At 31.1% G+C, this 14,676-nt stretch overlaps 1 protein-coding gene across 11 annotated transcripts in view; it reads left to right on the top strand.

The window, feature by feature from the left end:
• LRBA (LPS responsive beige-like anchor protein) overlaps positions 1 to 14,676 on the top strand; it is a 751,293-nt gene that overhangs the window by 514,637 nt on the left and 221,980 nt on the right. For all 11 annotated transcript variants that reach the window (XM_047416462.1, NM_001367550.1, NM_006726.5 and 8 more), the window contains 2 exons: positions 10,056 to 10,173; positions 13,257 to 13,359. In XM_047416462.1, the coding sequence (XP_047272418.1) occupies positions 10,056 to 10,173; positions 13,257 to 13,359 (221 nt within the window). The remainder of the gene's footprint in view (positions 1 to 10,055; positions 10,174 to 13,256; positions 13,360 to 14,676) is intronic.

Genomic DNA, 14,676 nt, shown 5'->3' with positions numbered 1-14,676 from the left:
TATAGGTCCTTTAAGAAAATGGCTTTTTGGAAGATTACGTCTGAAGGCAAATGTGAGCATAGCATTTAGTTCCATGCTCTATTATGGAAGTGAATACAAATCTGTACTATTCATTTATAACTGACTCCAACTAAACAAGCTTAATATTTAGTAGGAGGCAGGTACTAATTTTAAAAAAGTAGAAAAGTATTTCCCTCTGATTAGGAAAAATGTATCCTGGGGATTTTAGGCTCTTAGCATCAAGTTCTATGTTCCTAATTTTTCCTTTCCATTTTGCTTTTCATTTCTCTTGCTTGCTGTGTTCAAAGAACAAAAGCAAATTTCTTCAAGATAAACAAAGGTTTTCCCTTTAATTTGTTTAAGTAGCTTAGGTAACAGAGAAACTTCCAGTGGCTAAATCATATTGTATCTGCTACACAGAATAGTCTATCAGTAAACTGATATTACTCTAACTTGAAGATTTAGTTCATACATCTGGGAGAGGGGGGATTATTTATTTATTTATTTATTTAGAGACAGAGTCTCGCTCTTGCTGCCCAGGCTGGAGTGCAGTAGTCCGATCTCAGCTCACTGCAACCTCCGCCTCCCAGGTTCAAGGAATTCTCCTGTCTCAGCCTCCTGAGTAAGCTGGGATTACAGGCGCCCGCCACCAGACTCAGCTAATTTTTTGTATTTTTAGTAGAGACAGGGTTTCACCATGTTGGCCAGGCTGGTCTTGAACTACTGACCTCAGGAATATTTGCCCGCCTCAGCCTCCCAAAGTGCTGGGATTACAGACATAAGCCCCGGCGCCCAGCCCAAGGGGGGATTTTTTTTTTTTTAACTTTACCTTTGGTCATTTTATTTTTAAAAAATTTTAAGCAACAGTTGTACGTATTCATGGGGTACATAAAGATGTTGTATACACATAATGTATAGTAATCAGATCAGGGTAATTAGCATATTAATCATGTCAAACATCCTTTCTTCATGTTGGGAACATTCACTATCCTACTTCTAGCTGTTTGAAACTATATGTTATTGTTCACTGGAGTCATTCTACAGTGGTATAGAACACTAGAACTTATTACTGTCTAACTGTAATTTTGTATCTTTTAACAAATCTTTCCATGTTCCTTGCTTCCCACCTCACTTTCCTTGCTTCCCACCTCACTTTCCAACCTCTAGTATCCTCTGTTTTACTTTTTACTTCTATGAGAAGTAAAACACTTTTTTAGGGAGGGCTTTTGATACCCATCAAAGATGGAGTTCATGAAGGAAGAATTGGCATTGAGAAGAAAGAGAGTTTCTGCCCATTGGTTGTTTTAAAGTACTTATTGTGAAATATTCCAATATATTTAAAGTTAGTTTTTTATTAGTGGTGACTTAAATTTTAACTCTCTAGTAAGGAATAGAAAGCTTATGACTATAGAGAATCAATATGGGGAACATTAGACAAAAATACTTAAAAAAAAAAAAAAGTCTCTGTTGCCCAACCTGAAGTACAGTGGTGCAGTCATAGCTCACTGCAGCCTCAAACAATTTCTGGGCTCGAGCAGTCCTCCCACCTCAGCCTCTGGAGTAGCCGGAACTACAGGCACATGCCACCTCAGTCATCTAATTTTATTTTTTGTAGAGATGGGATCTTGCTGTATTTCCCAGTCTGGTCTGGAATTCCTGGCCTCAAGTGATCCTCCTGCCTCAGCCTCCCAAATTGCTAGGATTACAGGCATAATCCACTTTGCCTGGCCCTGACAGAAATACTTTATAGCTTAATTCAGCAACAATAGCATGTTATTGTCACAACTTTTTGAGAAGTAATTGGGAATATTTTCAATCTAAATGAAAAAATTATAAAGGGAAAATTTATATTATGATTTTTTTCTATACCGTACATGTAAGGAAGAACTAAATATAAATATTTTGAAGAAAAAACAATTTGAATATTGTTGGCATAAAGGTGCAAAAATTATTTTGAGTATAGAAATTTAGCCAAAGCAGTGTTAAACCATTTGGGGAGAAACTACCTAAATTAGATAAATGGCTTTCTTAGCCTTTTTCTAATTTTAAGATCATAAATGAATGTATAAGTTATATGCATATTTATGCTTGACTTTCCTTATAAAATAGAAGGGTATTTGTTTAATGATTATCTTCTCAAGGCATTATTTGAATTAGACAAAACTCTTTACTGGATAAAGATAATAAAGTTGTAACTTGTAAAGACACCAGATCATACATCTTTTAGTAGCATTTTTATTACTCTAAAATATTGAAATTGTATATTGAAATGTTTCTTTTGTACAGATACAAGGTAATTTCAGTATCTCCTTTACTAAAATCAGATGAGACCCTTTTATGCCTCGTTCACAATGATATTGACATTGTGGCTTTGTTTTTGTTTGTATTTTAAAAGGTACCTTCAAAGCTAAATATCTATTTTAATTTAGATAAATATCTAAGTTCATTTTGTTCCTTCTCTACAAATTTATCACCCAGCTCTTCACCTTATGTGCTGCTATGAAAAAGATATAAAATATATTCATGTTCCTTGCTATGGTTCCTTAATATCCTTTTGCGGGTTCATTTTGGTTTCTTGCCTTCTTTCAAAAAAAAATTTAGACTTATGGTATAGTTTAAATTTTAAAAACTGAATTAAAAATGAGCTGGAAGATAAATAAATACCTTCTTTGTTCTTCTCCTTCATTACTACGTTTGGCTTTTGACTCATTAAGATTGATATTTAATGCTAGTTGAATAAGAGATGGCTTTTAAGATGCATCATTTAGAATGCAAATTATTTTTAAGCTGAGGAATATTGAAAATAAAACAACCAAGTAAAGAGTCTGAATTATTTACAGGCCAAGGGCTTAAAGGTGCATCAACTCCAGCACAAATATTAAATTATGAAATGGGAATTTCAGTTTGCCATAAATCTGTGTGCCACAGCAGCTTAAAATAAAATAGTTTTACCCATCTAAAGCAACATCAATTTGCCAGTCAGTGCTTCATGTATCAAAGAGTGTTCTGTGAAAATATCAATATCATTGGTTAATATAAATGAAATTAATTTTTAAAGCTGGGCTAAAGGTTGACATCTGAAAAATTGCATTACTTTGCAGAAGAGAAATTTCTGTCTTCTAGTGAAATTTCAGGTCATAAGGGCAAGTAATTTTCACAGTCTTCAATGGGAGCCCGTGAAATATGAACTTCATTGTCACCTAGCCCCAAAGCGATAAGATAAAATGAGCTGATACATCATTTGCTGTGGTTTTATCATCTCCCTCAGTAATTGGAAGAGAAAACATAAGAGTGTGTGTGTTTGTAGGCTCCCCTCTTGCCCCTCCCAACTGCCCCATCGTCCACACCCAGGCTAAAGCCATTTTAGTCCAATCAATACAAAGGTCACATAGCATTTTATTTATATATTTTTAATTTTTCATACTGACTAAAACTGCCAAGTAGAACATTAGAGTAATGAATATGTTTAATTGAATTTGTCACCCATGAAATGCTATGAATACTATACTACATCATAGTACTTGAAACCAGAAGGGAAATATACTGTATAGATGAAAAAAATTAAATAACAACACATGATTAATTTAAGAGGTAATTTTATTTTTTATGTATGACTTTCATTTTTGTTGTTTGTTGAAGTTTGGGGACATTCTAAGTGTTCATGGATATACATTTAGTAAGAAAATTATCAACTTAAATTTTCCACCAGAGTCGACTGTGTGTCATTGTCATTGTCAAATTCAAAAAAGACCTCTAAATTTTACTTAAAGAATATATCCTTGAATTTTAAAACCAAAAGTCATATGGTTGGTGATGAAGTAAATCCTTGAACCAACTAGGATTCAATATTATTTGAGTAAATTACGTGCTATGCTTTGATATCTACCTTCAGAGAAAACTATAGCAAAATGTAAAAACTATGTTAATAACAGTGATGCAACTTTAAAATACTTGATTAAAATTCTTTAAGCTATTTGTTCAAATTACAATTATTGTAACATAAAACATTTGCACATATATTTATTGGTGAATTGATATGAAAGTATTTTTCAATGTCTTTATTTTAAAGGTGGTTCAAATAATTAGTTTTTCCATATTAAAGTGTTAACCTGTGACTATGTAATTATGTTCCATTAAAATGGGATATAGTGAATATTTTCTAGACTTTCTTAGCCATTGTGTTATTGCTTAATGAATGGTATGATTAGTTTACATTTTGTATATTTGGCTAACAACATTTTTCCTGATGTTAAATGTATTGATAGGGTTTGGAGATGGTTCTGTTGTGAATTTTTAAATATTGTTATTGATATATATTACCTGATTTTATTCTTAACACCAAAATCTTCAGAAATCTGGAATTGTCTGAAAAAATAAAATTACTATAGAATTTGGGAAATATTTGGCATAGGGATATGCTATGCTAGTTTTAAACCTTAGGAATAGTAATTTTTAAAATACCTTTTATTGATGTTACATGTGCAGGCTCTCATGTAAGTATTTCTTTTTTTTGAGGTAAAACATTTTATCACTTTTTAATATTTACCCTTCAGGAGGAATTTTAAAACATTTAAAATGTATCAAGGATAGTTTTTTTTAAAAAAATAAAACCTCCCTTTCTATTCACTTAAAGGATTGGCTTTAACTATTTTAAATCTACTTTTTAAAAATCCCTAGTATTCAATAAATAAGAGTATATAGTTGGGCAGTGAGTGTTGGTTTCTATTTTTGTTCTTTCATGAGGACAAGAAAACAAAAAAGAGTTTTATTTGGATAAACTTATAAGCTTTTACAAATGGACTGGTAAAGGGAAAGTAAAAAATGCCTTACTTTTACTAAGAATAAGTGCAACAAAGTGAAGCAATTTTCTTATGTGTTAATAGTATACTATTTGTAGGACAGAAGGAAGAAATACATGCATTATTTGGGAAAAATAATATATCCTTTTCATAAGGCACAGTTTTTAAATAAAACTTTTAAAAAAGATAGGTTTGATGTTTTACAGTAAATAAATAGAATATTTATGTGTGTATATAATCTATGTATTCAATACTAAATCCTTTCTCTCCTCTCTAACACACTGTCTCAACATTTAATAAACCAGCTTTGAAACAAATTATTTAAAACAATTGAAAGCTTAATTTACTAATAATAATACTAACAATAATAAAACAAGGTGGTAAACATTCAAAGAGAGTAAAGATTTCAAGCAATTCAGGAGTTGAGGTCATAACTGCAGAGCAATGGTAATGATATGGTTTCTATGGCAACTGATTCATTGGAGGGCTAGACCTCTGTCTAAGGTGCTGTCAGTGTATGTAGAGTTTCAGTGAACAGAAAGTCCCAAAGAAGGGTCTGTTTCTACCTAATCCAGTTTTAATTGAACTCTAGAGACTTTGAAGTGAAGCCTCAGACCAGGCCTATACTATTCCAATAAGAAATGAACCCCTTGCTTAGCTAGGCCTCAGCTGCTTTTCAGTACTGACACCTTTTCCTAATGAACACTTAAAGAAATATTATTATATAAATTTCAGCTAGTAATTCCTTAGTTAAGAGATTGCTAGTTTCTGTTTTAAATCTCAAATTTTTTGACCCTAATTGTGGAATTTTATTTAATTTTTTAAAAGATTAGGCTAGTTTTTTGGTAAGATTTTAATTTTTGACACCTTTGACAATTTTAAATAATTTTCTCTCATGCTGTTTTTTCTTCTCTAAGTTTTAAAACTTCATTAGACTTTGTCATGTTTAACTTGAAAAGCATATCATTATACATTCAGTATGATACCATTTATATCAGGTTTGAAAACATACAAAGTGATGTGGTATGTTATTTATGGATATATGTGTACTAATAATATAAAAACTTACATATAGATGATAATCCTAAAAACAAGGATAGTGATAGTGATTGGCTGTGACAGAGGAGGAAAATGGGATCAGGAAGCGTTATGCGTGTGAATTTTAACACTGTCTGTAATGCATTTATCACTTTCTTATAGATGTATAGAATAATATGGCAAAGTGTTATGATTTTATAAGGTTACTGAGTAGTAGGTACATGGAGCTTACCTCATTTCCTTTTTTTTTTTTTGAGACAGAGTCTCGCTGTGTCACCCAGGCTGGAGTGCAGTGGCATGATCTAGGCTCACTGCAAGCTCCGCCTCCCAGGTTCATGCCATTCACCTGCGTCAGACTCCCAAGTAGCTGGGACTACAGGCGCCCGCAACCACGCCTGGCTAATTTTATTTATTTATTTTTTTATTGAGACGGGGTTTTACCTTGTTAGCTAGGATGGTCCCCATCTCCTGACCTCGTGATCCGCCTGCCTTGGCCTCCCAAAATGTTGGGATTACAGGCGTGAGCCACCGTGCCCCGCCTACTACTGAATATTTTTGACATTGGAATAAAACAGATTTTAAAGGACTATGACACTTGCAGTGTTTCAAGTAGATCTTTGAATAACCATACTGTTTAAGGGAATGGAATATAAATGGTATATTTTATTTAATCAGAAAACTATTTCAGTACATGAAAAATCTTGTAACAATGCTGTAGTATACTCATTTCTCCTAATAAATGGAGTAGTCTAGAATATGATTAAATCTTTAGTTGTATGATCATGACTTTGCAATGAGTGGATTCACTATTATGGGCAACAGGTCTTATTATATAGCTCTATAGATACAAAAGGTAGAATTTTCAGACCAGTGTGTGATATTCCTAACATATCAAAGAGCTTAAAATATTTTTTGTTTGTTTTCTTTTGATTTTCCTCTTTCCTCTTTAACCCAAGTGCAGGAAAATTTTAAGCAGTTAGTTGGGTTCTAGTTTAACAGATATTTAACCCTTTCTTAAAAATGTGGCAATGTGGTATATACAATGGAAGCTCTGTATTTTTGGGTTAGAAAACCTGGGTATAGGCCATTTTCTGCCACTAACTTGCCAAGGAATTTTGTATCAAATATTTAACATGTCTAGGCCTCATTTTTCTTTTTTTTCTTTTTTTAGAGACAGGATGTTGTATTGTTGCCCAGGCTGGAGTGCAGTGGCGCAATCATAGCTTACTGTGCCATCAAATTCCTGGGCTTGAGTGATGTTCCCATCTCAGCTTCATGAGTAGCTAGGGCTATAGGTGCATGCTACCACGCCCAACTAATTATTTAATTTTTTGTAGAGATGAGGTCTTGCTATGTTGCCTGGCATCAAGCAGTCCTCCCATCTTGGCCTCCCAAAGCTCAGCAATTACCAGTGTAAGCTACTGGCCCTGGCTCTTGTTTTTCTTATGGATACATTGGACTATAAATGTTGCAGAACATATATTGGATTCTCTAATATTTGGTAAATCCAGGGTAGCAAACTCAAGTACCAATGGAAACTAGGTGGATAATAGTAAATGAGTGAATGCTCACATCACATTAGTGAATAATAATAAATGAAGTGAAAATGGTACCAAAATGGAGAGTGCATGCCAATTGTTACCATGTGGCATACAGATCCAGGTTTGCTGGATACCCTAGTTTTTCTTGAGAAGACAGAAATCCGAATATTTTTGCGAATATCTGTTTTCTCAACTATTTTCAACCATGTGAAATTTTGTTAAAATATCATGCGGATCAAATATGGACTGAAGGTTGCCATACATTGATTCATTTAGTCATTCTGAAAATTGCTACTTTGTGCCAGGTATTTTTCTAGGCATTGGAAGTAGGGTATATTCAAAGCCTTTGCTCCAACAGAACTTAGATTCTAGTATTCTAGTGCTGAAGAGGCAATAGGCTAGCAAGCAAATATTATAGTTTGAGTTAGTGGCCAGGTGTAGTGGCCCATGCCTATAATCCCAGCACTTTGGGAGGCTGAGGCAGGAGGATCACTTGAGCCCAGGAGTTCAAGACCACCCTGGGGAACATAGTGAGACCTCATCTCTACAAAAAAATTGTTAAAAGTTAGCTAGATGTGGTGGCACGTGCTTGTAGTCCCAGCTACTCAAGAGGCCGAGATGGGAGGATCATGTGAGCCTAGGGGGTTGAGGCTGCAGTGAGCTGTGATCACACCACTTCACTCCAGCCTGGGTGACAGAGTAAGACCCTGTCTTGAAAATTAAATTAATATTTAAAATTTCAGGTAGTGATAAGTATTATGAAGAAAATCTGGTAAGTTTGGGGTGGGATGAGTTGTTAATGGAGTAACTGGGGTTTAGATCCTGTGGCTTCCCTGCAGAGGTGACATAAGAGGAGAAGTCTAAATGTGAGAATGAGTGAACCATGTGGAGATGTGGGAGAACATTCCAGGCAGAGTGGAAAACAAGGGCAAAACAAAGCCCTGAGGAAGAATGAGTTGAACTCATCTGACAGTCCCAGATATGAGGCTTTATGCAGTCATAAAGAGCTTAAGAGTTTATTATACATGTCATGGGAAGTCACTGGATACTATTAAATATAGGAATGATGTGATCTGATTTGTATTTTAAAATTTTGAGGTGAAGGGTCCTCTGGTCATGGTAGACTTCAGAGGTAAGAATAAAAGAGAGAACAAATAGATGCCTCTGAAGACCTTGGGGCCATAGACCAACTGGTGGTATCTCTGGTCAAAGTGAGAGAAAGGGATACATGCAATCTCTGAGAGTAATGTTCATATTTTTGTCCTCTCGTTTCCTGTTCATTTACCTTTATTTTACATAGGCGTTGATTATATTACTGAATTAGTAGGATTTCTCTCTCATCCATTTCAAAACTGCACGCATGATTATCTTGTCTTTTGAACTTTTTGTTTTGTATTTTCAAGAAACACTCTCCCTTAGAGTTATACCCATTCTATTTCTAGATTCTGTGGTGTCAGAAATAGAATCATTTTTGTAGAAAGACTGAAATACATACTTACTGACTTAAATAAGGTTTGTTACTCTTTTTTTTTTTTTTCAAAAAAACTACATTCTGCACTGGAGAATGTAGATTTATTTGCCATTAGGATTTTGAAAATAAAAATGAGTAAAGACAAAACAGTTTGAGAAGGATAAATTTTTACTACTCGTTATTTTACCTCTTTGCTCATCCCATCTTTATTCCTACAATGTAGTATCATAATCAAATGTTTCATTTGTAATTTTTAATAGTGGTTACTTTTGAGATATATTTCTTAATTTTTTAAACTTAATTTGCTGTCATAGAATATCAGGTTTTGATAGCAAGTGCATCTCATTTTCTTATGTATTATGTATAGTACTGGTGTAGAGAAATGCTGAGTCTGGTTTTCCCTTAACGCTTTCACAATTAAGCTTTTGAAATGAACGTTTTGAAAAACAAAACTTGAATCAAAGCAACAAAGTGGGTTAGGACTAAAGACAGGATTACTTTGAATTGGCAAAGCATTTTAAGCAACTCTGTCTGTCACCTGGGATGACAAGAATTGTAACAAGTTACTCTGACAACCACCTACCCCATAGGGAGATTATGCTAAGTTCATTTGCAGGTTTGTGTTTAGCTTTAGCTGACAAAATGATACTTAACCTCTTATATAGTCAGTGTTTGTGCTTTCTGAATGAGTGACTGTTGCCTTAACAGTGACCTTAAAAGTGTCATTTTTTAAAGTTATGAACTTAATATATTTGTATTATAATGTATGTAAAAGCATTATTGGGCAAATTATAATCATGTGAAACTGAATTGTGTATGTGATTTATAAGCATATATGACATTCTTTTGAGGGCTTTTTGTTTTTAAGATTTTATCTGAAGTTTTACTTTTCATAATGTGGTTTAAAAATCAATCAGTAAATGATGCAATATGTATTTCTTCAGAAGCAGTAGATTATATCATTGTTTTTAAAAGCCCGAATATATACTTAAATGTTTTATAATTTTACTTTGCTTTTTAATTTAAGCTTCTTTTCTATAAATTACAATTTATTTTCTTCATCTCCAAATTATGTCTGTAACTATTAAATCCTTTTTCTTAAAAATTATTTTTCTTAATAGGGTCTTTTCTATTTTAATTGGGGAAAGAAACAACAACAAAAAACAAGTATTGTTACTTACCTGGGATTATTTTTTTCCTCATTAGATCTTGGCATATACAGAAGGGCTGCATGGAAAATGGCTGTTCACAGAGATACGATCAATCTTTTCTCGTCGTTATCTTTTGCAAAATACAGCCCTGGAGATCTTTATGGCAAACAGAGGTAATGTGTTACAGAAATACGTTGTTACAGAGCTAACTTCCATCTCTTTAAGATTTCATTTTTGAACATACCATATTGCTTCAATTTAGATAGTTATTTGTAGCCCACCTTCTGTTCTAGTGACCTCTTTTTTTGTACCAAATGCTTCTTCATGGTTTTTTCCCACCTTGATTATTAATAGAATCATTTGTAATTCTTTTCTTTTTTTTGCCATATCACAAATTGATATAAGGCTTTATAAACATAAGGAATACATAACCATTTAATCAGCTTGAAGAGGAGTTTTGATGTCCTGAGCATTGCTTTGATACTTAATTCCTTCTGGAAGGTGGCTGCATTTGGGGAGAGGAGAGGACAATAACGATTCATATGTCTATTTAATCTTTTGTGTGATATATGTGATATATTGCTTTTATAAAGGAACCATGAGAAAATGATACTGAACTGTCCTGTTTGCTCTGTATTTCATCATTCTTGAAAGTTGAACTAAAATTTAATTTGCAGTTTTACGATGGAACTTGGTGAAATCCATTAAGAAAAGAAGGGGAGACAAGTTGAACTTGAAGGAAAAGCATCATTTGGTATGGGTGGAGGTGTACAATGGAATATATGTAAAACCTACTGATTTATTGTACATATTCCTTGTATTATATATACATGGGTTGATGGTTTCTTATTTTTAAAGGTACACATAACTGCCTATATTCCACACACACATCTTGTTTTTCCTTTATGAAATTATCTGTCTTTAGGGAATACAAATTTCTTTAGGAAAAGATTTTTCCCTTCCTGTTTGATCTCCTCCTGGCACATACCTCTTCTTCTAATCTAAACATTATTCTTCTAGGCAAATAATCAAGAGAATGTTTCACACTTTATTTCAGTCCGCATCCTTGCTGTCCCAAAGGAGCTTCAATCTTAGAATATTTATTACTTGCTCATCCTCATTCATTTTCTTTCTTTGAAATTTCTTATGCATGCTTGTTTTTATATGTGTGTTTTTCTGTTGCCTTTGCCTCGTGGCCTTGACCATCTGCCATAACCTATGATGATTTTTTTCTTCTGTTTATTTTTTCCCCCTGAATTCAGTATAATAGTGGATATGTAAAGGAGGCTTATCTAAAGGATACATACACACACACAGATAAGAATATATATGTATAATATATTCCTATGTATAATTATTATATATTATATATTCTTATATATAATATATAATATATAATATATTCTTATATATAATATATATTCTTATATATAATATTATATATTATATATTCTTATATATTATATATTCTTATATATTATATATTATATATTCTTATATAATATATTATATATTCTTATATATAATATATATTATGTATTCTTATATATAATATATATTATGTATTCTTATATATTATATATTCTTATATATAATATATTATATATTCTTATATATAATATATTTTATATTCTTATATATAATATATTATATATTCTTATATGTAATATATTTTATATTCTTATATATAATATATTTTATATTCTTATATGTAATATATTTTATATTCTTATATGTAATATATTTTATATTCTTATATGTAATATATTTTATATATTCTTATATATAATATATTATATATTCTTATATATAATATATTATATATTCTTATATATAATATATTATATATTCGTATATATAATATATTATATATTCGTATATATAATATATACTTATATATAATATATTATATACTTATATATAATATATTATATATTCTGATATATTATATATTATATATTCTTATATATTATATATGATATATAATATATTGTATATTCTTATATAATATTATATATAATATATTATATATTCTTATATATAATATATTATATATAATATATATTCTTATATATAATATATTATATATTCTTATATATATTATATGTTATATATTCTTATATATAATATATTATATGTTATATATATTCTCGTGTGTGTATATATTCTTATGTGTGTGTATATATTCTTATGTGTGTGTATATATTATGACATTACTAAATATGTTATAGGTGCTTAGTGAATGATCGATTACTTATTTACCTGAATACCTGAAACATGTTGGCAATGCCAGTGTTTTAAAAACTATAGGAACATTGGTATATTTTTTTTTTGGCTTTAAATATTTTTTTAAGGGTTGGTAGAGAAGAAGGACCATCTTCTAGATGATCGCTTGTAGCTTACATATGATTCTGACATTGAAGTTAAAATTCCATGACTGACCAAATGAATATCTTCTAAACTCTCTCAAGATTGTATGATTTTACTTTCATGTTCTTTAAATGGGTAAAAATTTATAGATTACTCTCATAAATTAACATTTATTGCTAAATATGTTTACATATTGACATGTACTTCTTGGTATTCTCATGTATGTGAAATTATTGAAATAGGATGAGAAAGCATTTAAATTTGATTTTTAACTGCAGAGGAAAAATGTTCCTTCAGATCACACATTGTTTTGGATTATATGAACATTTGCTCATTTGAACATATGAAAGATAAACATATAGACATTGTAAAAAGACTGTTTTAAAACTTAATGATTGGAAATAAATGTAACTGATTATTTCATAGCTATATTGGTTGTTTTTTAGTGTTAGTTGTTTAACTACATAAACTTAAATTTTTAATATTTGTTTCTGGAAACTCCTAGAAATACCTTTGACTTGCCAAAATTCATTTTTGTAAATTTAAAGTTGCAGCTTCATGTCACATTATCTCAGCTATCATTATCATTATTATTATCATGTCTCATAATCTCAACTTCATGTCATATCAATGCAACATCAACTGTTATAACACCTAATAGTATTTAGGAAAGCACTGTCTATGGTAAAAGAATTTATAAGTGAAATGAATATTATCACTGGCATATTAATACTAAAACTTGATATATACTATATAAAAGGAATATAGTAAGAATTGTATTTAATAGATACCTGAATTAAAAGTAAATATTTTATTGGACCAAGGAGTCAGTTTTCCAGAAAGGAAGTTATACTGTGTTCTAATTTTTAAAAATCATCTGTTGTAGTTGCTGTGATGTTCAACTTCCCAGACCCTGCAACAGTAAAGAAAGTGGTTAACTATCTACCTCGTGTTGGCGTTGGAACAAGTTTTGGATTGCCTCAAACCAGGTACTGTTTTATATGAGAAACTTAGGGAAAGTAAAGTGTCTTAATAGTTATAATAATTAACCAGTATTAATATTCTTATTAACATTAATCTGTATTAATGTTCTCACTTATTTTGAAATTTATAACTTTCTGTTTTATGTTTCATAGTAAATAATGATTATTAGTATTTTCTTTTGACTAAACTGCATTATAATGTACTGTTTTAAGTTATTAAGTTTTCTTTTGACTAAACTGCATTATAATATACTGTTTTCCCTAGCATAGGGTATGGTGTCTAGCAGAGTATATACTTAGCAAATAATCATTAAATAAAAGATTGCCTAACCTTACCCCAAGAAAAGTGTATATTGTAAGATTTACTTTTTATCTCTTTTATGGAAAGTTTAAATACTAACCTTTTAGGAAAGATATTTATAGTATATATATCGATATAATTACTATTCTTTTCAAAGATACATATATATATAATATATATCATAATGGTATATGTGTGTATAAATATACACACACACGATATATATCATAATGGTACACACACGTATAACCAGAAATACCACATGATCCTGCAATCCCACTACTGGGTATATATCTAACTGAAATGAAAACAGTATGTCAAAGAGATATCTGCACTCCTGTTTGCATTGCAGCATTACTCCCAATAGCCAAGATACAGAAATCAACGTAAGTGTACATCAGCTGATGAATAAAGAAATTTTGGTTGTATATATATGCAATGGAATGCTACTCAGTCTTTAAAAAGAAGGAAATCTTGTTATCTACAATAACATGGATGAACTGGAGGACATTCTGTTAAGTGAAATAAGAAAGACGCAGAAAGGCAAATACTGTATGATCTAAATATGTGAAATCTAAAAAAGTTAGACTCATAGAAGTAGAGAGTAGAATCGTGGTTACCAAGGGTAGAGGTTAGGGGTGGGGTGACTGGGGAGATGTTGGTCAAAGGATACAAAATTTTAGTTAGGAGGAATAGTTGAAGAGATCTATCTTACAGCATAGTGACTATAGTTAGTAACAGCATATTGTTTTCTTAAAAATTGTGGAGACTAGATTACAAAAAATGATGAATATATGAGGTAATGGATATATTAATTTGCTCAAATTAGCTATTTCGTGATGTATACAAGACAAAAAAATGATAATTTTTATTGGTTGCTAATAGTCTGAAATATGAATATATCAAAATTGAGTAATTCCCTCATTGCTGAAGATTTGCTTTATTTCCATGTTTTCATTATTATAAAAAATGCTGTGGTAAAATTATTTATGTATTTTTTCTTTCAAGTTTTATGACCAATG

Source organism: Homo sapiens, chromosome 4 (assembly GCF_000001405.40).
Source record: "Homo sapiens chromosome 4, GRCh38.p14 Primary Assembly".
NCBI classification, from domain to species: domain Eukaryota; kingdom Metazoa; phylum Chordata; class Mammalia; order Primates; family Hominidae; genus Homo; species Homo sapiens.
Note: the sequence above shows the minus strand (reverse complement) of the source record. Positions and strands in the feature narration are given on the sequence as shown.